Source organism: Homo sapiens, chromosome 2 (genome assembly GCF_000001405.40).
Source record: "Homo sapiens chromosome 2, GRCh38.p14 Primary Assembly".
Taxonomy (NCBI): Eukaryota; Metazoa; Chordata; class Mammalia; order Primates; family Hominidae; genus Homo; species Homo sapiens.
Window position 1 is genome coordinate 166,420,938 of NC_000002.12, and position 25,981 is coordinate 166,446,918.

The 25,981-nt window shown below is 35.2% G+C and overlaps 1 protein-coding gene across 9 annotated transcripts in view; it reads right to left on the reverse strand.

Annotated features, from left to right (window-relative positions):
• The window catches only part of SCN7A (sodium voltage-gated channel alpha subunit 7), a 90,677-nt gene that overhangs the window by 17,365 nt on the left and 47,331 nt on the right, over positions 1–25,981 (reverse strand). For 8 of the 9 annotated variants that reach the window (XM_006712680.3, NM_002976.4, XM_011511615.3 and 5 more), the window contains 8 exons: positions 23,825–24,063; positions 22,566–22,739; positions 20,459–20,815; positions 11,381–11,815; positions 8,232–8,337; positions 6,851–7,005; positions 2,322–2,495; positions 253–360 (listed from right to left, as the gene is read on the reverse strand). In XM_006712680.3, coding sequence (XP_006712743.1) covers positions 253–360; positions 2,322–2,495; positions 6,851–7,005; positions 8,232–8,337; positions 11,381–11,815; positions 20,459–20,815; positions 22,566–22,739; positions 23,825–24,063 — 1,748 coding nt within the window. Of the gene's footprint in view, positions 1–252; positions 361–2,321; positions 2,496–6,850; positions 7,006–8,231; positions 8,338–11,380; positions 11,816–15,409; positions 15,504–20,458; positions 20,816–22,565; positions 22,740–23,824; positions 24,064–25,981 lie in introns of all 9 variants that reach the window. The other variant, NR_045628.1, reaches the window with a different exon arrangement.

Consider the following 25,981-nt stretch of genomic DNA (forward strand, 5'->3'; position numbering starts at 1 on the left):
CTATATTTTCTCTCTCAAATACTAGTTTCTTTTACTTGTCTGTATTGGTTTTTATACTTTATGAGGAATAAGAACCTAGAATCTTAATAAACATACCTATTCCTCTCTATTTCTAAGCAATGAAACGTAAAGTTTTTGTTGTATTAATACTGTTAAAGGTACAAACGAGAAGAAAACAAAGCTTCCCAATTTGTGCAAATTTAGTAATTCCAAATAAAAATTTGTAGATTAGCTTAGAAACTTATCTCTTACCTTCATTCTTTCAAATTGAGATAGAACTCTGAGGGGCCGAAGGAATTTCATGGAAATAAGAGGTTTTAGTTCTTCCCGAGTTTTGCCTATTAAGCTAAGACAAAACACCTATATATTTTTTTTAAAAAAAGAGTGAATAGGATTCCATATTAATCAAAATAACATGTAAAATAAACTTTGCATTTATTACAACAGATATATACAATAAAAGCTTACCAGTAAATTCGTGAATTATTTTTACATATACTTCAAAATACATTAATAATCACAGAAAGTTATAAGAAAATTATTGAGTGTTAAAATCACTTTAAAAAGATAAAACTAAACTGTTTTCTGGTAATAAGGAACATATTTTAGTGAGATAAATAAAAGTTGTATATTTTATACTCTTTATGATCAATGACATATCTTTTTTGTTTGAAATTAGATTAAGAATCAGTTTCATAATTACTTGTAATACAGTAATCATATGCAGTATATTCATTAAAACAAAATAAGAAATATAGTTACACATGCATTCATATACAAATATGGTTAAGACAATATACATGATAGGCTTTCAGAGGATAGGCATCAAGGAAGATATGAATATTGTTAAGTCAAAAGTACACACATTACAAAAAAGTATAACCAGATACTAAGGTAATCTTTAAAAGTAAATATATTAAAGGTTAATAAATGTTCATAAATACTAAGGTGGTAAAGCTAATATTAACTTTTATTATATCCAGATTTTTCTACATTTTCAAATCAACATTATGAAAAATTTCTTCTTTTTACCCTTTACTAAAGAGACAGCCTTGAAGTAGGCTTTGAAGTTTGGGTATTATTTTCATAAGCATGAAGGAATCTAGACACAGAACAGTGACTAGGAAACAGGAAGGCGAGTTGCAGGCATAGTATGATTTGGCTAGAGCTGAAGGCTAATTTGAAAGAGTGAACTTAGGAAAGAGAGGTCAGCTATTTTAAATCATTAATTGTAGATTGGGGAGCTTCTATCATTGTTTATAGAATAGAGAGCCATTCATTCATTCAACAAAAATACTGAGAACCTTCTAATATGACAGAAATTGTTCTAGGCACATGACTTAAAGGAGGGAAGAAAACCAAGAAAAAATTCTACCCTAATGGAACTTAAACCTTAGTGGGAGAAAACAGACAATAACAAAATAAATGAACAAATGGTACAATATTAATAAGGGGTATGGAGATGAAGAAAGCAGACAAAGAGAAAGGGAGTATTGGAGTGGCTGCAGTTTAAATAGTGTTGTAAGGAAAGACCTTCAAAGGTTTCATTTTGGCTAAGGCATCAATGCCAGCCAAGGTTCCAGCTGGAAGGAAAAATAAGTGCACAGGCACTAAGATGAAAATAATCTTGGCATATTTGAAGTGCTCCATGAAGGCTGGTGCTGGTGGATCAGTAAATAGACCTGGACAGGGGGAAGGAAGCATAGCAGGGAATATGTTGGATTACACAGATACTTGTAGAGCATTGATTGCAAAGATTGTTGATTTTACCCTGAATGAGATGGGTGTTTAACATAAGGTTTCAAGAGAAGTGACATGAGCTGACTTCCATTTCACAACAGTTACTCTGGTTGCTATGTGGAAAACAGAATGATGGTATGCAGGGCAGAAGCAGGGACACCACTTTGGAATCTATTGTAGAGATCTAAGTGAGAAATTTGGGGAGTTTGGATCAGCCCTGCACTTGTGAACATCATAAGTAGTCTAATTGTGATATATGATTAAGAGTTAAGCCAACAGAAGAACTTAAAGATTTTAGGGTGCTGATATCATCAAGATACTGTGCAACAAACTTACATGGTTAACAGTAAATTCAAGGTGATTATTATAATAACCCAGGAACAAAGTGTTGAACTTTTAAAATTTTGGAATAAGAAGAAAATGATAGATGTTAAATATTACAAACTAAGAAAGGTGTCATGTACCAACAATGTAGAGAGAGAGGGAAAGGAAAGATATAACAAACTGACAGGAAGTGAAAGAGTAAGAGTGAGGAAGAAAAAGTAAATCAAATAGCCTTTCATTTTCTTTAAAATACGTACAATAACAACCACGAAGTCCAGCCTGTACCAGCCATTAGAGAAATAGGCCTTAAAACCATATGCCATCCATTTTAGAAGCATTTCCAGAATGAAGATATAAGTAAAGATCATGTCAGCATATTCTAATAAAATTTTAATTGTCTTTCTCTGATCCATATATATATCTTCAAAAGCCTGTGGGTAAAAATAAAAAAATAAGGATTAGGTGTACAGGTAATTTCTAAAAACTCTTTTGACATAAAAGCGAACAAAATTTTGTCTCTAATAGGCATATGGTGAGCACTGTCAGAGATTGTAGGCTCCAGGGCTGGTTCACTATGCTTGTACTTATTGACATAATCTATAAGTATTATTATTTGACCCCATGCCTACGCCAGACATCATTAATTGATCCCAGAACTAGTTCTTATATAGGCTGAACCTGGCTTCATAATTGTTTTAAATAGCGATCCAAAAATCCCCTCCAAAATCAGTTAATCAAACTTAACACAAGAGTCAAAACCTTTAGTCACATCTGACATGGATCTTATATGTAATTCCAGGTAGCCAACTCACAGATATATGCCACTTACTCATAGAGAAACAGATATGTTTTTAAAATGTCTTTAGAAATCCATAAGGCTATCAGGTAAACCAGTTGAAATGCTGACGATTAATTAAAACTATAACTGTTTCTCCAAAGCTTCTCAGTTTTAATGTCAACCTTAATTTGACTATGGAATATGTAAAGTCTAATCATGTCATTGAAAGCAATTTCATAAATATTTTAGCACTGAAAACAGGCAGGCAGGCTTTCAATATCAATATACATAAGAGGACAAAAAGCAAGCAAGGATTAAAATAATCTCATATAAAGAATGATGTGATTCTTAAAACCTACTGTTAAATGGAAGTAAATACAAAATAACAATAGATTTTATGACTTTTAATTGAACAAATTACTGTGTAAATGAGTCCATAAAGATTATAAAGTTCTTAAAAATTTTATTTTGTTACATGTATTTATTTTTCAATTATTCAGGTACATAATGCAAAATATAATAAAAAGATGTTCAAAAGCCTCCACTTCAATTAGCATGGGTAGAGTAGATTTTACCAGACCAATGATCCTGCTGCAAAGAACCAGAAAAACAGTACGAAGTTTAAAAAGCATTTGTTTTTAAAGGCATCACAGAGCTGCTGTATCAACAAAGAGCAGATGGGCCCTAATTGTAGAAAGGAGAAGGTCAAGAATATGTTCAGAACAAAAAGATTTAACATGTAAATTCTAATAAAAATAAAGCTAGTAACAAATTAGGCAAGATACGTAACTTAGGATAGTTCATAATAATAGAGGGATCAGTACTATAAGTATACATCTGTATGTCCAAAATAATGGGTCATCAAAATATATAAGGCAAAACTGATGACACCAAAAGAAGATTTAGAAAAAAAAGCAATCATAGTGGGATGATTTAACACATTATATCTATAGCCAACCAAAGAAAAACATCTTTGCTAGATCACTAAGGCTCCCATCGTAGATGGGAACGATGGAAATCACAAACTATAATTGCACCCAGCTACATCATTTGACACATGCTTTTCAAGTACATGTTGAACACTGTAGTAGATGCTGGAGTTGCCCACCAAGAATTCCCTTACTGGCATACCTAACTATTCCACAGCAACCGAGTGTTGCTTGATAACACACAACTGAAGCCCTTCTGGAGAACTGCCTCTGCTAAACAAGAGCCACCCCGCCTGAGAGGCAATGTTTCCACTCCTAGAGGGACCCAGCACAATCAACGGCTGAGTGGAATAGAGATATAAATGCCAGCTCCCTTTTGTCACTCAAGGTGAAATTGCGCGGTGCAGTCTGGGCTCCAGAGCCTCCCCACAAGATCAAGCTGAATTGAGTCTTTCTTGAGGATTATGAAGAGGCCTACAATAGGGTAGGTGTCTTTTAAAAACTCTCTTTAAGGTCTACCTCTACCTCCTCTCTTGGCCACCTGATGCATAAATAGAGACAACTCTCTTCATACAGTGGCCTGGGAAGTACTAAGACTGCTAAGGAAGGAGAAGGATTGTATACCAGAAAACCTGGTACCTATGCAAGACCTAGAAACATGTACTAGCAGGAAATGGAGGAGCTTTCCTGGTAGTGTATCTAGAGAGGGCTGCTTATTAGTTTCCTATTGTGACTGTAACAGATTACCACAAATTTAGAAGCTTAAAAACAACACAACTCTATATACTCTCATTCTTGATGTCAGAAATCACTGGGCTAAAATCGAGGTGATGAGAAGGCTAGTTCCTTTTGGTGGCTCTGAGGGGTCTCAGTTCCTTCCTTTTTCAGCTTCTAGTGACTACTTATACACTTTGGCCTGTGGTGCATTCTTCTGTCTTCAAAGGATGACACCCGAATCTCTGCTTCTATCCTCACATCACCTTCTTTTCTGACACCAACTCCTCCAGCATCTCTTTTGCCCGAACCATTGTGATTATATTAGGCTCAGCTAGATAATTCAGGATAATCTCCCTGTCTCAAGATCTTTAACTTGATCAGATCTGTGATGACCCTTTGCCATATAAGTTAATATTCAAAGGTTCTGGGGATTATGTCATGGACATATTTGAGGACCATTTATCAGCCTACAGGCTGGATCAAAGGGGATAGAATGTGAAGCTGGATAAAAGGAATAATGTGTTGACATGGGGGTCACAGTTAACTCCAGCACCACAGGAGTTAACATCATATTGATTCATTATATTGATGATATCATGTTAATCAGACCTGATGAACAAGAAATGGTAAGTTCTCTAGATGCTTTAGAGAGACATATGTGCCTCCTACTCTAAGAAAGAGATACAACGCCTGGTAGACCTCTTTAGGATTTGAAAGCAAAATTTCACACTTGGGAATATTGATCCAAAGACGCATTATCAGGTGATGCAGAAGATTGCTATTTTTCAGTAGAATCTGATGCAACAAAAGATACTAAAATAGGTTGACTATATTCTAAGCAGCCTTTCCATTTGAGCCATGTGAAGATCCATGATGCTAGCAGAATCTGTGATGGAGAAAGGCGTAGTATGGAGTATCTGGCAAGCCCCCTAGCGGGTATTTGTGTTTCCCATTCTCTCAACCTTAGGATAGGTGGACTCTGGGGTCTTTGCTCCCAGAATAGGGCATTAGGAGACATAGTATGTCTCCTACTAAAATTCAAGCTTAGATGTCATTTGCTTAATTTTTGATTTCTTGTACCAGTCAACTAGTAAGAAAGAAAGAAGTTACCATACCAGCAAGGATAATTGACTCTGATCATTATGAGGAAGTGGGATGCTGTAACAAAATGAGAGGAAGAAGAAATACAAAAGTAACACACAGTTTGAATCTATTTTTATTAAGTCTGAAATGGATAAAACTAATCTATGGCAGTTGAAGTCCACATGCTGGCTACCCTTGTGGAGTAGGGAAGTAACTGAGGGGTAAGAGTGTTGTTCTGGCATCCTGGTAAATGTTCTGTTTCTCAATCTAAGTCACAAACGTGCATTCACATTGTGAAAATCATTCCTGCTGCACACCCATGGAGAGTTTTCAATATGTGTGGTAAATAACACAAAATTTATTTAAAAATATAGGCAGTGCAAAGTCCAGTTCACAACCATGACTCCATCTTCTGTGTTCTGTGCACCTCACAGTTAACTAGATCTTGTATGTAAGAATTCTCCTTAAAAGATCTCTGATCTTCTTTAATCAAATACAAACAAATACCAATATACATTCTATTTTTATTCCTTTCCTATATAAAAGGCAGAGTGCCATACACTTTATTCTACACCGTTCTTTTTCCACTTATTACTACATCTTGATGAATTGTAAATATGCACATAGCTTCTGAATTTTTAAAATAGCTGCACAGAGTTCCATTGGATGATTTTTCATAGTATAAAGTCAGCTATTACAGACCTTCTTTTCTAACCCTTTGCTATTATTACAAAACATTCTTCAGTGAATTACCTTGTAGAACCATTTAATGTGCAGATATTTGTAGAATATTTTTAGAATTAAGATTCTGAGCGCAGAGTTAAGATTGTAGGGTCAAATACATTTGTAGTTCACAGACCCTTTAAAGCATATGCAATAGTTCCCTTTCCTTTGATAGGTACCAAAGTACAAGCATATTATAGCAGTTTTGGATGTGCAAATCATTAAAATGTTTCATACATGAAAATTCATTAAAATCAGAAGAATCCGGTATCTATTCACATTCCATTTCCCACTGTCACTCATATATTTTGGAATTCAATATTGCAAAATAATATATTAAAAATCAATATTAAATTTAATATTGAATGATGCATATATAAACTTTCTAAGAAAGTATATTATTTAGATTTTAAATCACAGATTATGAAATTTGGTGCTATTTGGTGCTATACTAAATATCCTTGGAAATGTAATCCTGGTTTTGACTTTCTGAATTAACAGAATCATGATACATTTGTCCCCAGCAAAGTATCAAACACCCTGGCTGCCCACTTACCAGAGTGCCAGTGCTGAGCAGAGTAACAAGCCCAATAAAACACTTAAACCAATTGTTCTCTACAATCTTGCAGCAGGTTTTCCTGATGTTCTGCCAGATTTTTCCTTTCTTGGATGCTCCACTGATTTGACCAAGTGAAGATCCGCGTCTGCAACCTGTCAAGATTGAATTGGTAAGAACAACAATCTAGAAAACTCATGAAAAAGTAAACAACTGAAACTTTCTACTATGTGCCACAGCAATTATTTATTTACAAATTCTAATCCAGGTTGTCTCTGATTTATAAACATTTAATTTTTACCCATGGTGTAGTGACCACTGTAATCCCTGAGCAGGAAAAGGAAAACTGGACTTAGGAGTTCGGTAGTAATGAAAGAAAGGCATTGTGAAAGGCAGAAATGACCTACAACATGTTGTCACTCTGCAAAACAGTCTGAGAATAGGTATTCACTAATAGCACAAAAGAAAATACACACAAATATCTCATTTCTGAATGTTACATTTTGATATAATGCCTGAAAATTTACTCTTTGAAGATTCACATGGTATAACATGCATTCCTGTTTAAAAATATAAATACTTATGAGATGTTAAGAGGCATAAAATTAGTTAAATCAAATTAATTGCTTTGATTCCAGTTCTTAGGTGGCATGAAAATGGGAATTTTTATTGAGACTATTACGGAAGTAACATGGACTGTGGAGTACTTTGTGGGTAGAGTACATGTGTACGGGGCTGCACTCTGCGCTCTGGCCAAAAGGGTTAGCAAAATGGAAACCTGAGGCTGGAGAAGAGGTTGATATACAGGTGACAAAACAAAGAAATGGAGGTAGGTGGAGTTTAAAGCCAAAACATTTTATTTTGGAATTTTGTCTTGTGTTAAATTATACTATGAGTAGTATTGTGGCAGTGGAATATTATTAATAATGGTGATTCCAAAACACATTTTTCATGCTGTGAGTAATATTGGGTAAAGATACATAATGTTCATATTTGATTTTATACTAGTAGCTATACCACTGTGTGCTTTAGAACAGAGCACAATTTAGGAGTAAAACAGAAAATCAGTATAGTTAAAGCAGCACTGAGATGTTTGTGTATACACATACACATGCACACATATACCTATATATGTTGAAGTCAAATGAAGTGTTCTTAGATCTCATGAAATAGGGCCAATATTTAAGTTACTCATATAAAAATGGCCTATAACTGTCAGAGGAAAACAAGTTGTAATGGTGACACTTGTACATTTAACATGAATATTAAGAAATGTATAAAGATTCAGTCAATTGACTGACATACTGGATATGGAACATATACATTTTGACAACTTATAATTCAAATTAGTTTCCTAGCAAGATTAACAAAATTTTCTTACCATTTTTCAGATGCTTTGATCTTTCACCTCCATAGAACATTTCTTCTTCTTCAGAGATAGCAATATCAACAGTACTGCATTCAGATGAGCTAGATTGCTTTATTTTCTAAAAGGTGAAGTCCCACCAAAAAAGTTGTGATTAAAGTTTCATTTACCCATGGTGGCCAAAGTTTATTTCATTTTCAGAAGTAAGAAAAATTTTGTACAGAAATAATATTATTAGGTTTAAAAGACTTAAGGCCAATTTCATGACTGAGATTAAAATGCGTACATATTGGTAAGAGTTGAAGTTTAAAAAAATATTGTATGATACTTACTTTAAGCTAAAATAACATTTAGATTAAAATTCATGTTTAGTTTATAACACTTTGCTTCTTAAAGATGTATAGGCTGTCTCCAATTCACAAAAGGATTGGGGTTCCAAAGTTTTCTTGGAGTAAGTCACAAGTTTCCCATATATGCTATTTCAATTAGATGAGTAGAATCAGAACAAATCATCCCTTGATGCTAAAGATGGGTAGATAATAGTGCACCTAGGTTTCATTGTAAAATTCAGTCCAGATGGTCTTATGTATGTCATCACAGGATGGGATTTATCATGAAGTAAAATGAGGGAAAGGCACAAGAAATAGGGACAAGAACAGGCCTGGGAAAGGGGCACAGCCTTATGAAAAGCACCCAGATGCAGAATTGACCTTCTTTCTAACTCTGCTTTTGACTGAAGTTCAAGGCTGGGTAGAATAAGGTGGTCATTGCTTTACATAGGTAATAGTGCTAATGATACTCTTTGCCTTTATTTAAAATTATTTTCTCACAATACTTTATTTTACCTTATTTTAAAATAAGGATACCGTAAATCATTCTTTAAAATCACCAAGATCTAAGGTTAATAGCATATAAGTAATATTTTCTAATTAAAACAAAAATTAAGGCAAGCGCATTTTAACATTTGGAATGAAACCAATCTTATTTCATAAAAATTAAGAAAAAAATCTAGGTAGACGGCCAAAAAACCAGAGAAATTGTCAATATTTTGTCCTACCTCTTAGACTTATACACAGTAAGTGTCAAGGAAATATAATTAGAAAGCTTTTTTTGCTTTAGTTCTTACGTGGTCAGTTGTCAGTAAATCATTATAGTGCTCAAATAAAAAAAGTAAAGTATCCAGCAGAATATTATTCTTACACAGATATTTTTATTTCCATTACTTTTATATATTCTTTATTTATTTCTAATGAAATAAAATCTGTAGCAATATATTTATTTGAGACTAGGCATTAAGTAATTTAAACATAATATTTGACAGTAATTAAAATTATACATCATAAATTTATATTTTTAAAGAGTTGTAAAAAGCCTTGTACATATCCTATTTGATGTGATTTTTCCAAAATACCGGTGAGTAGGTATTTTTCTAATTTTACAAATAAATCAATTAAGACTCAAATTATAAATCATTTATTTTGATAAAAGATTATTTAATGGCATAAAGTGACCATGATATACTTCTGCATTACAAAAAATACAAGTTACAAAACACGATGTAAATTTTGATGTTATTTTTATAATATGTAAATATATATGCATATTTTTAATAAAAATAGGCTGGAAGTACAAATAGCAAAGAAACAAGACAGTGTATCTCTGAATTATCAGATCATTTATAATATTTTTGTGTTTTATTTTTGGCTGTGGGTATATCAATATCCTAAGTAGTCATGGGCTACATAATCTAGAAAGCATCTAACTAAATATGTAACTAAATATATAAATAAATGAATACATCTTTTGTGAGTAGTTAATCAACCAGCAAGACCAAATAACTATGCAGCATAAATAAAAACTGCAATTTCAATATTTACAGTTATTTTAAGTTACAGCTTTCCTATGTATTTTCATACTCCAGAATTTCTAAGGAGATTAGCATGAAGTTTTCAGGGACACTCCAACATGCTGTGCTGTGGTAAATAGCAATTTCACCCAGAAATGGATAGTAATCCAAATCTTTAACGAAGATTGAGAAGTGTGCTGAGTAAGAATTTATGCCTGTTTTATAGCAATGGTATTAATTTAAAAGGTAAATGAATCTTAGACTATTGGGCATGTGGATTAAAAATGTCTCTCTAACTAAAATAAAGATGGCTTTAGTAGGTGATGGAAGGACCTTGGATAATTGAAACTGAATTCCTCTTAGAAGACAATTTGTGAAGTTATTGTAGAGAGCATCTGCCAAAACAGAAGAGGTCTGGGAGACAAGATGGTGCCACAGATGATGGGGACCTGTAAAGACACATTCCCCGACCCTCCAGTGCCCCTGAGTGATCTGAAATGATTCCCTAGTGGGGTCCAAGGTAAAAAGCCCTTGTGCAGATGTGATCTCTGTAGGTGTAGCTTTCTATGAAGTTACACCTCCTTCTAAAACACAAGCTGCTTGCAAATGGAGACAATAAGACTGTTTCCAGTAGGGTGTATATTTTAGAAGCTAAGTGAACAGCAGTATCTACCCTTCTTTGAATGCGACTCTGATTTTTTTTTAAAGCCAGTGCGTTATAAAGCTACCAACTGTTCAAAATTCAAACTGGGAGGTTTTAAAAATTCCTTTAGTCCAACTTAATTATAATGTCCAAATATGGGCAGAAATGATCTGATTCAAATCTTAGAATTTTAGCAAGCAAGAAGGAATTGTAGCACTCTTCTAATTCAATCTCCCATTTTAAGATTATAAAGCCCATGGAAATTTAGTGATTTGTTAAATCATACACCTTGATTTAGAAAACTTTGGTTTCCTCAGTATACTTTTCAGCACCCTCAAACTGCCTGGTTATTAATTTATAGAATGTCACAATTATATCATCTAATGTTTCCTAAGTGCTTACTCTTTACTAGGTATTGTTCTATGCACTATTACCTCCCCCCCTCCATGGACTAAATACCATTTTAGCCTCATTTAAATATGAGAAAACTGAAGCTTGGAAAGTTTAAGTAATTTGATCAAAAGCATAAAGTCAGAGGCTAAGAGTGATGGAGCTAGGAGTGATGGAGTTAGAATTGAGTGGATAATCTGGCTGTGGAACTTCGGCGCTGATTTACTTCCTTATCAACAATACTATAAATCACCACTAAGCAATCAGGATATTTAAACATCTTACCTCTTTGCTGCCTCCATCACCAGACTTACTCTGAATCTCCTTATTATCCAGATTTTCTATATCAGATTCTCCTGAAGCAATTGGTACAGTTTCTGAGACACTAGGACTGGGGATAAGTGATTGGCTCTCATTTTCAGTAGCGTTTTTCTCTGTGCCACTGCTTTTTTCCTTATCTTTGAGAAAATCTTGGGTGTTGCTCAATTCAGAAAGGGTATGGTCAGAAATATCTTCTTTAACATATACCTCATTTACATGGTCCATTGTGTCCTTTGGGACATTTTGTGTTTTGCATAGTATTTTAAGAAGCACATAGTTTATTCCTTTTTTAATTCTTGCCACTGCAAGCTGGAGATTTTTTGCTTCATTATTCTCTTCAGCTGTTACATCCTTGCATGAACTAAATGAGCTCACCAATGCCAGAAACAGGTAAAGTACCTAAATAAGGAAGTAAAATGAGGCTAAATGTATCTCATTTTGTTTCATTTTAAGTAATGAAAAGTTTGTTTACAAAACTGATGAGAACATTTAATATCTACTCTGTTAGCATTTTTCAAGAATACAATATATTGTAATTAATAACTGTAGTCACCATGCTGTACAATGCATCTTTTGAACTTATTCTTCCTATTTAACTGTAATTATGTGTCCTTTGATCAACAGCTCCTCAATCTCCACTTTCCCCTAACCACCCCAGCTTCTGGTAACCATCATTCTGCTCTCTACTTCCAGAGTGTGAAAGAACACTTAACCCATTTATGCCTAGTGTTCCATTATTGGAAGGCTAAGCTTGTGGGAGTTATTTATATCCTACTGCTCAAGGTCATCGCCAAGGTCGACTTTTCACACAAAAATTGCAACTTCTGGCATAAATGGGTTAAGTGTTCTCACCATAAAAATGATAACCATGTGAAGTAATGCATTTGTTAATTAGCTATATTTAGCCATTCCACAATGTATGTCTACTTCAAAACATTACCTTGTACACCATAAATACATACAATTTTATACATTAACTTAAAAAATAAATTTGACTAAAAAAGGCTGACCTGAGATTTGAAAATGAAGCATATGAACTACAATACTATTCAGTTCTTATCCACCTACCACAGTGTGTCAGGTGCTGTGCTAGGGATTTGTATAGCAAGAATTTATTTTAAGCTCATGACATCCTATGCAATATGATTTGTTTCTCTTTTACAGATGAAAAAGGCAAGGTTTACAGATGTCAAATATCAAACGATCAAAGGTTACATAGATTAGACCCAAGTCTGCTTTATTCCAAAGCTTATTTTCTCACTGAGTCAAGCTGTCTCACCCAAGGTGAGCAAATAAGTTGTTTTTCCAGGCAGCTCACTTCCCTTCAGCCCTGTTCCAGGAAAACATGTAAGAATTCTGCAAACCCAGGAAGAATTATATGGGGAAAGAGCTACCCAGGGTCCTGCATACCATATCTAATGGCTTTTGTGGGATGAAAACACAGATGCTAGGAAGGTTAGTTGATTATCTGCTGTAGTAAATTTGGTCAAATAAGAAACAGATGAGTGATGGAAGACTCATTCCTAACACTTGTAACTTATTTTTAACTCAAAGATAGTGTATATTTTGACTTTTACTATCACTTAGAAGTATGATCAAGTACTGATCACTTTCCAGAGAATCAGATTTTAAACTTGTTTATAATTGTAAGGCATATATTATAGTTTTGGATAATTAGGCTGACTATTTGTGTGTACATAAAATAAGTATGTGAGCATCTCCAAAGACTCATATTTTGAAACTTTTTTCAAAATTTTAGATCTATGTGAACAGTTGAGTTTCTCAAACACTCCAATAATTACTCTTTTTCTCATGGACATGCACATCTGGGATAATAGTGTTTAATCCTAATGGGTTACATTTACTTCTCTCTATCTAGATCTTCCTATTTCTTAGGAATACAGAAGGTTCAAATAAAACTTGTATAGAAAAATCAAAGTATTTTTCAGTGAATAAAGTCATCAAATAGATAATCTTATCCATAGTTTTAGCATAGCAATAAAATTTTGGTTATAAGATATATCAATATGGGAAATGTTTTGTGGGTGAGAGCATCTGAAAAACTGGCAAATATCTTTTATAATCCACAATGAAAGATTCTCAGAAGAGAAAAATTAAAACAGAAAGGACAATGATCAAATGCTAATAGCTTCAGAAATAAAGAAATAAAGCAGACTTAGGTCTAATCTATGTAACCTTTGATCCTTTCTGTTCTCCCACTAGCGTCTCCTTTGGCAATGAGGTTTACTTATAGATAATCTAGGCAGGACCTCCATGGCTCCCATAGGAGCCACACTATTAGCAACTCTATGATTCTCAAAGGACAACAGTTTCCTGATATAAGATGGTGAGACCAGATATAATTTAAGATAGTCAGTTGTTTCCTTTTCTTCTATTGTTTGGCTAAGTATTAGGCACAGTGTGAAATAACAGAAGGCTGTTAGTGTGTTTCATGACTGTAAGCTTCATATGAACAAAAACCATGTTTTCTCTTAATTAGACAACCAGCACACTGCTAGGCACAAAATAGGTAATAAACAAATATTTATTTTAAAAAATAATTGATTATAGAAAGAATAAAAAATAGATTTTGTGCTAGGATTTGAACAAGAAAAAGTTTATGCTATATTAATCATATTTTAAGGAAATTACATCAAAGATTTCTTATATCTTAGACATACATGCACACAAATATACACACATACATTCATATATCTATATATATATAGTGAAAATGTTCAAAGCCTAAAAATGAACGTAATCTTAAAAGTGCTAAGTGCTCTGAAACTGTAGTATAAGATAAGAATTTTATAACACTAAGAAATGCTACTGCTTTGTTCAGATGTGGTCTGAATTAAAAATAGCCTACTCTCTTTAAGGATTTAAAGGAAAAGACAGGCTGTGTAAGTGGCGCAAGTTACAGAGAACTGATTACTACTTCTAATTTGAGCATTAACAAAAAAGAGAGCAGAAAATGCAGAGATTTGTATTATATAAACTCAGAGTAACTTTATTCTAGTCACAGAATCTGTAACCAGATTAAAAACATATATTTATTATTTTTGCGTTGAGAGAAAAGGTGAAATAGTGTGTATAAAACAAAACTTTTTAAAAAATTCCCCTGAATTTTGTTTTCTTGCCCCTCAAAGATATCCACATATTGAGTGAGAATTGAGCAACTCATAGCAAAATCAAGCAGCATGAAAGAGGAAGAAAGTTCAAGATTTAAGTAAGTACTTTCTGATTTGTAATCAACAAATAAACAGGTATGAAGGAATTTAACATGTATTGAGGCTATTTAATTTTAAATTTCTTGAGTTACATCTTAACATATATTTAATTTGGGATTATACAAATATATATGGAATAACATATGTGTCTATGATCATATTTTTTATTTTTAAAAGGCAACTGAATTTTGTATTAAGTTTTCTCTTTCTTTTATTTTCATGTTTCTATCCCTCAGTGTTTGGTTTATGTAACCAGTCAGGTACTATATTTCACTTGGTGACAATTACCTAAATCACAAGTAAAACACCAGGAATGAAATTAAAATTTGCTAACTAAAACTTGTTAATAATATTAAATAACTAAGAAAAATCTGGTAAAGATATAGGGGTTAAATTTTTCTGCAGTGTAAAGAAATGATTTATGTAATATATGAATTACTTATAGGGTGCTAAATGATTACATTTAAGTTATAATAACCCTATAAGGCAAGTATTGTTATGTTCATTCCTCCATTAAGTATGGTCAGGTTCAAAGAGGCTGCGTAATATGCACAAAGACACTTATTTATTAAGTGATTGAAATGGTTTGTCTTTGCTCCCATCCAAATCTCATCTTGAATTGTAGTTCTCATAATCCCCACATGTTGTGGGAGGGAATCGGTGGGAGGTAACTGAATCATGGGGGCAGTTACCTTCATGCTGTTCTCATGGTAGTGAGTTAATTCTCACAAGATCTGATGGTTTTATAAGGGGCTTACCCCACCTTCACTCTGCACTTCTCCTTGCTGCTGCAATGTGAAGGACATGCCTGCTTCCTCTTCCACCGTGATTGTAAGTTTCCTGAGGCCTCCCAAGCCCTGTGGAACCGTGAGTCAGTTAAACCTCTTTCTTTTGTAAATTATCCAGCCTTGGTTACACCCTTATTAGCATCATGACAATGGACTAATACAGTAAATTGATACTGCAGAGAATGGGGCACTGCTGTAAAGATATCCAAAAATGTGGAAGTGACTTTGGAGCTGGGTAACAGGCAGATGTTGGAACAGTTTGGAGGGCTCAGAAGAAGACAGCAAGATGTGGGAAGTTTGGAACTTCCTAGAGACTTGTTGAATGGTCTTAACAAAATGCTGATAGTGATATGGACAATAAAGTTCAGGCTGAGGTGGTCTCAGATGGATATGAGGAACTTGTTGAGAACTGGAGCAAAAGTGACTCCTTTAGCTGTGCTTTAGCAAAGAGACTGGTGGCTTTCTGCCCTTTCCCTAGAGATCTGTGGAACTTTGAACTTGAGAGAGATGATTTCGGGTATCTGGCAGAAGAAATTTCTAAGTGGCAAAGTGTTCAAGAAGCAGAGCATAAAAATTTGTAAAATTTGCAGCCTGATGATGCAGTAGAAAAGAAAAACCAATTTTCTGGAGAGAAATTCAAGCTGGCTGCATAAATTTGCACAAGTAATGAGGAGCCAAATATTAATCACCAAGGCAATGGGGATAATGTCTCCAGGGCATGTCAGAGACCTTGGCAGCAGCCCCTCTCATAACAGGGCATAGGCCTAGGAGGAAAAAATGGTTTTGGAGTCTGGGCCCAGGGTCCCCCTGCTGTGTGCAGCCTAGGGACCTGGTGCCCAGTGTCCCAGCTGTCCCAGCTGTGGCCAAAAGGGGCCAAGGTATAGCTTAGGCCATCACTTCGGAGTGTGCAAGCCCCAAGCCTGAGCAACTTCCATGTGGTGTTGAGCCTGCTGGTGCAAAGAAGTCAAGAACTGAGATTTGGGAATCTCCACCAAGATTACAGAGGATGTATGGAAATGCCTGGATGTCCAGGCAGAAGTTTGCTACAGGGGCAGAGCTCTCATGGAGAACCTCTGCTATGGCAGTGTGGAAAAGAAATGTAGGGTTGGAGCCCCCACACAGAGTCCCCACTGGGGCACTGCCTAGTGGAGCTGTGAGAAGAGGGTCACTGTCCTCCAGACCCCATAATGGTAGACACACTGACAGCCTGCACTGCACCTGGAAAAGCCATAGGCACTTAACACCGGCCTGTGAAGGCAGCTGGGATCGGGGCTGTACCCTACAAAGACACAGGGATGGAGCTATCCAAGGCCATGGGAACCCACCTCTTCCATCAGCATGCCCTGGATGTGAGGCATAGAGTAAAAGGAGATCATTTTGGAACTTTAAGGTTTAGTGACTGCCCTATTGGATTTCAGACTTGCATGGTGGCTGTACCCCTTTGTTTTTGTCAGTGTCTCCCATTTGGAATGGGTGTGTTTATCCAATGCCTTACCCACATTGTATCTAGTAAGTAACTTACTTGCTTTTGATTTTACAGGCTCATAGGTGGAAGGGACTTATCTCAGATGAGACTTTGGACTTGGACTTTTAAGTTAATGCTGGGATGAATTAAGACTTTGGGGGACTTTTGGAAAGGCACGATAGTGTTTTGAAATGTGAGGATATGAGATTTGGGAAGGGCCAGGGGTGGAATGATATTGCTTGGCTGTGTCTCCACCCAAATCTCATCTTGAATTGTAGTTTCCATAATCCTCATGTGTTATGGGAGGGACTTGGTGGGAAGTAATTGAATCATGATGATGGTTACCTCCATGCTATTCTCATGATAGTGAGTGAGTTCTCAGAAGATCTGATGGTTTTATAAGGGGCTTTCCCCTGCTTCACTATGCACTTCTCCTTGCTGCCATCATGTGAAGAAGAGCATGCCTGCTTCCCCTTCTGCCATGATTGTAAGTTTCCTGAGGTCTTCACCCTATGTAAATGTGAGTCAATTAAACCTCTTTACTTTATAAATTATCCAGTGTCAGGTATGTCTTTATTAGCAGCATGAGAGTGGACTAATACAGTGATAGAACTGAAATTTGAACCTATGTTTCTTTGATTCTGAACTCTGCTTTTTCTACAACTCAACAAGACAGAACTATTTAAAAACCAATTCATTTCCTTTGACATATAATAATTTTTTGTAAGGTTTCTGCTTAAGGCTTAATATCACTGCTGAGTTTTCTTAGAAGAGTAAGACAAAATTAATTTTTTAAAATGTGAAATGTCTTCCTTTTACACCAACCCACATTAGAAGTGTGGAGGTTAAAAAGATCAACAGCTTCAAAGATTATCTCCTTACATTTTTCCCCCTTCTACTTATTCTACTGCCATTATCATGATGTTTCACAGTTGGATGACTGCTGAGGAAAATTAAGCTGGAAGGATTTAGTGAGCCAAGAAATATGATGGCCAATGAATTGGAAATGGAGGTTCATGTAACTCCATTTATCCTAGAATCCCTCTGCACATTGATGAAGTTTCTGGTTAGTAGAAACAACAAAAAATAGAAAGAGATTGGAGTTCAAAATCAAAGAAGCAGGAATGTTTAGGCAAATATATATATATATATTTATATGTTATATCATACATATATGTATATATACATACACACACATACATATATGTGTGTGTGTGTGTATATATATATATATATATATATAGCCTCAGTATTTCTGCTTCTTTCTCTTTGAATTATGTGAATGTGTGTGTTGTTGTTGCTTTCCTCAACAGCCATAACTCTTCCTTTTGGAAACAGAAACATAAAATTTATTTAGGAAATTACACTTATCCTCTTATTAGTCATAGGATTTGTGTTTGATCTTATCCCATCTCCAGCTGTAAGAGAGAGCTATGAACAGTTTAACATAATAAATGCATTCCACACCCTGGGCAATGGAGATTAGTTAAGAATGGGCATGTGATTCAGCTAATGAGATAATAGGAAAAATCAACTGTGGCTTCTAGAAAAGAAATTCTTTCCTCTATTAGACTTGATATAATACAAAGATATGAGGCTTTAGACTGCAGCAGCCATCTTGATAAAACAGAAGATACTAGCTAGCAAAGAGCACAGAGAAAAACAGAATTGAGATCTACAAAGACCTCTCTGTAATGATCCCATTTAATCATTTGTGTCACATCCAAACTGAAGCAAGATCTATCTCTGATATTTTGAGTTATGAGTTATGTATGCTGATATATATGATCATTTTTTTGTTTCAGCCAGTTAGAGTGGTGTTTTTTATCACTGGGAATGAAAAGTGTACTACTGTAACTACAAAGGGCAGAAGATATTGAAGTATTTTTTACATGTTGGGCACCGTTCTAGGTTTTGTAATAAAGAGGAGAGCTATGGTCCTTTCCCTCATGGTGCTTACAGTTTAATAAAGAAGATAGAGAAGTACACTAACAATTAAATACAATGCCAATGTGATAATTGTATGACAAGGGTCTTCTCAAGGTGAAACACAAGCAATGTGGACAGGTAAAATTGAGTCTAACCTGCGATTTTTTTTCAGTCTTTTGGGAAATGTACTTGATCTTTATGACATGAGTAAAAAGAAAATACCAAGTCTTGTATTCCTGTAAGAATCATGTTTTAATAAGCCATACCTTTTCCATAGATGCAGTGAAAGCTACTTATTTAATTCATTAGAACCACTTCAGTTATTAGGAAACTTATAAGTGAAAGCTTTCTCTCTTAGTTAATGCATAACATTTTTATAGACCAGGGGTTTTCAATCTTGACTACACAATTTAATCAACTGAAGATTTTCAAAAAATCCTGATGACCAGGTCATGTCCACATACCAATAAAATCAGAATCTCTAAGAATGGATTCTAGGCATCAGCATATTTTTATTAATTCCCCAGGTAATTCCAAAGCCAGGAAAAGACTGACAGCAGTGTTACATTTAAGTGCTTCTTAAAATTTAATGGGCACACAAATCACCTGGGAACAGTGTTACAATGTAGATTACGCTTGCATAGGTCTGGGATTGGGGTCTGGGAGTCTGCATTTCTAACCACCTCCCACGTGATGCCAATATTACATTGAGTAACAAGGTTAGAAGCTAGTGCTATCTAATGGAAATATGATGCAATCATATATGCGATTTTACATTTCCAGTGGCCACATAGAAAGCACAGAAAAACAGGCAAAATTAATTTTACTAATACATTTTATTTAACAAATATATTTAGTTAAATACAATATACAATTTGTATACAATAAATACAAACATTTATATTTAACTAAATATATATTTAACTAAATACAAATAAATAAAGGGAGACTATTGTATTTGTATTTAACAGTATTTGTATTTAGTTAAATACAAATACAGTAGTCCCCCTTAATCCAGGGCAGATAAATCCCAAGACCCCCAGTGGATGCCAGAAGCAGAGGATGGTACCAAACCCCATGCGTACTACATGATCTGACAGCCCAGACAGCTGCTAAAGGACCAATAGGTGGTGTATACAGCATGAATATGCTAGACAAAGGGATGTTTCATGCCCAGAGCAGGACAGAGTGGTATGGCAGGAGATTCCATTACACTACCCAGAATGACATGCAATTTAAAACTTATGAGTTTTATATTTCTGGAATTTTCCACTGGATGTTTTCAGACCATGGCTGACCACAGGCAACTGAAACCACATACAGTGCAACTGAGCATAAGGAGGACCTACTATATTATCATTAAAAAATGCATTCAATATAAAAATTATTAATGAAATAGTTCACATCATTTTTTGTGTAAGACTTCAAATCTGGTGCATATTCTACATTTACAGCACATTTCAAATGGAACTAATCATATATCAGTTGATAATGGCCACATCTGGCTAGTGGGTTACTCTATTGGACTACCACAGTTACAGACCATTAGATCCCATCAATGCACATCATGAAAATACCAAACTACCTTATACCAGTTTTCATGGAAAATGTAAAAGAATTGACTACTTACCAGTAAATTTCCAATTAAAATGACCATCAGGTAAAAAGGAATACACCAGGATTGGCCTGCAACCTCCATACAGTCCCACAAGGTCTCTACCCACTCTCCACAGAGAATTCGGAACACATTCAGGAAGGAGTGGAAAAAGTCATGCATGTGCCAGCGTGGGAGTTGACAGTCTTTGTCTATGTGGCAGACAAATTCTTCATAATTCTTACCAAACAGCTTCATGCCGAATGCAGCAGAAAAGAAGATGAATGTGAACAACAACAGGACCAAGTCTTTCAGGGCCACCCATGAGTTACTAAGAGACCACATCAAAATCTGGAATGTTGGCCAATACTTTCCCAACTTGAAAATTCTTAACTAATAGAGCAATGTAAAATCAAGAACAAGAAACAAATGACAAAAAACTTGGTCAGTGTATATTACAAGGTACAGTGTTATACACATATACATATATAGCCTTTAGAGTTTTAAGCATTATTAACTACTGAACATTCATTTTGTGACAAATTCTTAATACATCTTAAATATCCTATAATTTTGTATACTCAGTCTATACATATCCTCTTCTACTGATGTATTTGCCAATTCCCATTAAGCATTATACTGTTACAATTCCTCTAGCTTTATATTTTATTAACTGTTAGGGCAAGTATCCATTCTTTGTTTTTGCTTTTCAAAATATATTGAATATTTTTCCACATTTTTCCTATACGTTGACATGAAAATGATATTGAAAGTCTTTCAGGATCCAGTGGATTCTGATGAAGGTACTATCATGTATTTCCCTTTTAAAATAACATGTCAAAGACCAAACACAACATTCTAGGTTTATATTGAATAGTCCCCTTCCTTTCACTAGATTTTTTCAAATTTCTGTTTATACAGAACAAGATTACCTTAATATTTTTGGTCACTGTATCACAGTAAACTTACTGTCGATTAGATCTCATACATCATTTTTATATAGGCTATACCTTCCTGACACTTTCTTTTCAATTTTTTTTTGTTTGTTTGACAGAGTCTCTCTCTGTCACCCAGACTGAGTGCAGAAGCACAATCATAGCTCACTGCAGCCTCCAACTCCTAGGCCCAAGTGATCCTCCCACCTTAGCCTCCTGAGTAGCTGACACTACAGACATGAACCACCACTGTGACTAATTTTTTATTTTTTTTTAGAATTGGAGTCTCACTATGTTGCCCAGGCTGGTTCCAAATTCCTGGCCTCACTTCTTGACTTTTTCTAGTGTTCAGCTGTCTTTCTGAACTCAACAGTGAGATCTTACATTTATCTATGAAAAAAATTAATCATCTTAAATTCAGTCTATTACTAGCCTTTAAAATATTTTGATACTATCTTTTAGCACATTTTCTGCAATTGCCAGTGTTGTTTCATCCATAAATTTGGTGACAACATCCTGTATATATTTCTCTTATTCATTAGAAAAGGTTATGGATGAGGATCTAAGACAGGATTCTGAATGAGCTGCCCTCTAGGAAGTAACCATTAGAATAAGATTAAATGGACTTAATTGTTCTTAATTCCTGCTACATTCCTTCAACCTGTCACCAGAATGTGACCATGTATAACTTATCTAAAGCATATCATTTCAATAAACAATATTCTCATAACGTTATTCCCTTGTTTAATTTTCTGAGTCTCACCATTACCCTACCCCATAGACATACACTGATTTTTACCTAATAATTATCATAATAACATTCTCCTGGTCTGACTGGTCTTCCTTTATACCTGACATTTAGAAATACTCACCTTATTTCGGCTTCTTGGTGACATATTAGAATTCTACTTTGGAGACTCCTCATTTTCTTGCTTTCCAAAATGTACTCAGTTACCCTGACCCTGCTTCCTAAAACTGTATCTCAAATTTGCTGCCTATATGGCATTATTTCTTTTAACACTGTGGTCAAATAACAGCATTGGAGACTGCTTACTCTTTCCTTGGCAATAAACTCTTTATATACTAATCAATTCATTTAATGCTCCCAATGTCCCAATGGGATAGGTATTACTGTAACCCCATTTTATGTCTGCAGACACTGAGATAAACTTTGATCAAATAAAAGTTAGGTATTGGATTCTACTTACCATCCTGAATAATCGAAGAAGAGCCATTCCTGCAACATTTGCTAGACAAAGTTCTATTAAACCATGGAACACTATCATGCTATCAAAAATGTTCCAACCTACTTGGAAATACCCATATGGATGCATTGCAATTATTTTAAAAATCATTTCTGCTGTGAAAATTCCAATGAAAACCTAAATCAAAACCAAATACATAGGTGAGAATATGATTCCAATAGCTGTATCAGAATCTTCACACACAAAATCTGTGACACACACTGTTTACTTGTCACTCTCACATTCTTCACAGCTTCTCTGTCAATATCTGGTTAGTTGTAGAGTCTGCATTGTAAGGACAGACTCATACATTTTATTTAACAATCTAATGTCAAACACTATATACAGAATCTTTTATTATTTTAATAAAATTGATCCTCGAAGAAAACAAAAGAATATTTCAGGGTGAAGCCCTTTCAATTTTGAATAGTTATTTTTGAGGTACAGAGTACATGATATGATATTTAATTTTTCATCCTCTGAGAAAACATAGCATGAACCTATGGAAGCTGTCCTTTAAAAACTGTACTGGCAGAAATCACTAAATTGCTGTTTTGGTACCAAATAAATGTATAATTTGAAACTTCTAGCAGTTTGGCTGTTTTTATTAGTACCAAGCAACTAAACAACAACAATGGTGAAAGAAAATACATTTAAACAATATACATTTGCTTGAATGTGACTTATTTTTAAACTCACAGGAATATGTTTTGTCTTTTGCATTGTATGTGAAAAAGGACTGGTGAATCTCAAAAATACCAGGCTAAAATGGTAAGTTCCAATCCTGGGCAAAGATACATGGTTAGAACAGACAGGGCCAACTGCTGTTTTAATCAGAATTAAGAATTCAGGAGTCAGGTGCCTGTTATTTCACTTCTGCCCTACTCTGATCTATGAGCTAATGGTACCAAGAGACTGTATATTTGGGAAGGGAGGGGCAATAAATAATTTCCATGTAATGTAACTGCCAAGCATCTGGCTAGGAATCCCAAATTTAAACTGGGGAATTTTAAATTCCAGCTGTAAAACTATTCAATGATAAGAACATTTAGAAAGCAGGGGTTGGAGGGATAAAGCATAAACACAATGCTTCATTCAATAATAATGCATATTGCAACATATTGGAGTTACAGAATAAAATAATGGGAATAATGATGAACAAAGAAAAGTTCAATGATAACTAAGAAACTGCAAATGAAAATAATGTACAATGAGAGTCTTACCAGGTTTCCAATGTTGAGAAGAGTGTTAGTTTGTTTACTCATTGGATAATGCTCCAAGGTCAGAAAACATACGTTTAAAATTATGCATATGATAAGGAAAAGATCAGTAAATGGTGCCATTATAATCCTATGGACAAACTCTTTCAATTTTAACCAACAGGGAGAACAATTCCAGATCAAGAAAGTTTTAGCAAACTTATACCAGTATAATGGGCATATCTTCTTGGATTTTTCAAGTTCTGAAATGAAAGAATACAAAAGTTAAACATTCTGGCCGGGTGCAGTGGCTCATGCCTGTAATCCCAGCACTTTGGGAAGCCGAGGTGGGTGAATCACTTAAGTTCAGGAGTTCGAGACCAGCCTGGTCAATATAGTGAAACTTTGTCTCTACAAAAAATACAAAAAATAGTTGGGTGTGGTGGTGGATGCCTGTAACCCCAGCTACTCGGGAGGCCGAGGGAGGAGAATTGCTTGAACCTGGGAGGCAGAGATTGCAGTGAGCTGAGATTGTGCCACTGCACTCCAGCCTGGGCAACAGAGTGAGACTCTGCCAAAAGAAAGAAGGAAAAAAGGAAGGAAGGAAGGAAGGAAAGAAGGAAGGAAGGAAGGAAGAGGGGAGGGAGGGAGGGAGGAAGGTTAAACATTCTCAAATTGTTTAAAGTTCTAACGAACTAATAGACAATTTTGACTTTTGCATGCAAAGGGAGATTTGAGGATAGAATTCTGATATGGAATTCAAAAACAGAAATACTCTATCCTAATAAAAAACTGAATGAAGGGAAACCCTCTCTTGGGCGACCCACTTTCTCAGCAGGAGCAAGCTTTCTCTCTCTCTCTCTTTTTTGTCTGTTAAACTTTCTGCTCCTTAACCCACTTCACATGTGTGTCCATGTTGCTAATCATCTCGGTGTGAGACAACTAACCACAGCCTTGCATCCCCAGGATGAAGCTGACTTGATCATGGTGGATAAGCTTTTTGACGTGCTGCTGGATTCGACAAAAACAAGCGATGGGGAAAGGATTCCCTATTTAATAAATGATGCTGGGAAAACTGGCTAGCCATATGCAGAAAACAGAAACTGGACCCCATCCTTCCACCATATACAAAAACTAACTCAAGATGGATTAAAGACTTAAATGTGAAACCTAAAACCATAAAAACCTAGAAGAAAACCTAGGCAATACGATTCAGAACATAAGCATGGGCAAAGCCTTCATGACTAAAACACCAAAAGCAATGACAACAAAAGCCAAAATTGACAAATGGGATCTAATTAAACTAAAGAGCTTCTGCACAGCAAAAGAAACTATCATCAGAGTGAACAGACAACCTACAGAATGGGAGAAAATTTTTGCAATCTATCCATCTGGCAAAGGTCTAATATCCAGAATCTTCAAGGAACTTAAATAAATTTAGAAGAAAAAACCCCATCAAAAAGTGGGCGAAGGATATGAACAGATACTTCCCAAAAGAAGACATTTGTGTGGCCAACAAACATTTGAAAAAAAGCTCATCATCACTAGTCATTATAGAAATGCAAATCAAAACCACAATGAGACACCATTTCACGCCTGTTAGAATTGTGCTCATTAAAAAGTCAGGAAACAACAGATGCAGGCAGGGATGTGGAGAAATAAGAAAGTTTTTACACTGTTGGTGGGAATGTAAATTAGCTCAACCATTGTGGAAGACAGTGTGGCGATTCCTCAAGGATCTAGAACCAGAAATACCATTTGACCCAGCAGTCTCATTACTGGGTATATATCCAAGGGATTATGAATCGTTCTACCATAAAGACACATGCACACGTATGTTCATTGCAGCGCTATTCACAATAGCAAAGACTTGGAACCAGCCCAAATACACATCAATGATAGACTAAATAAAGAAAATGTGGCACATATACACTATGGAACACTATGCAGCCATAAAAAAGAATGAGTTTATGTCCTTTGCAGGGACATGGATGAAGCTGGAAACCATCATTCTCAGAAAACTAACATAGGAACAGGAACCAAACACCGCATGTCCTCACTCATGGGTGGGAGTTAGTTGAACAATGAGAACACATGGACACAGGGAGGTGGGCATCACACGCAGGGACCTGTCGGTGGGTAGGGGGCAAAGGAAGGGAGAACATTGGGAAAAGTGCCTAA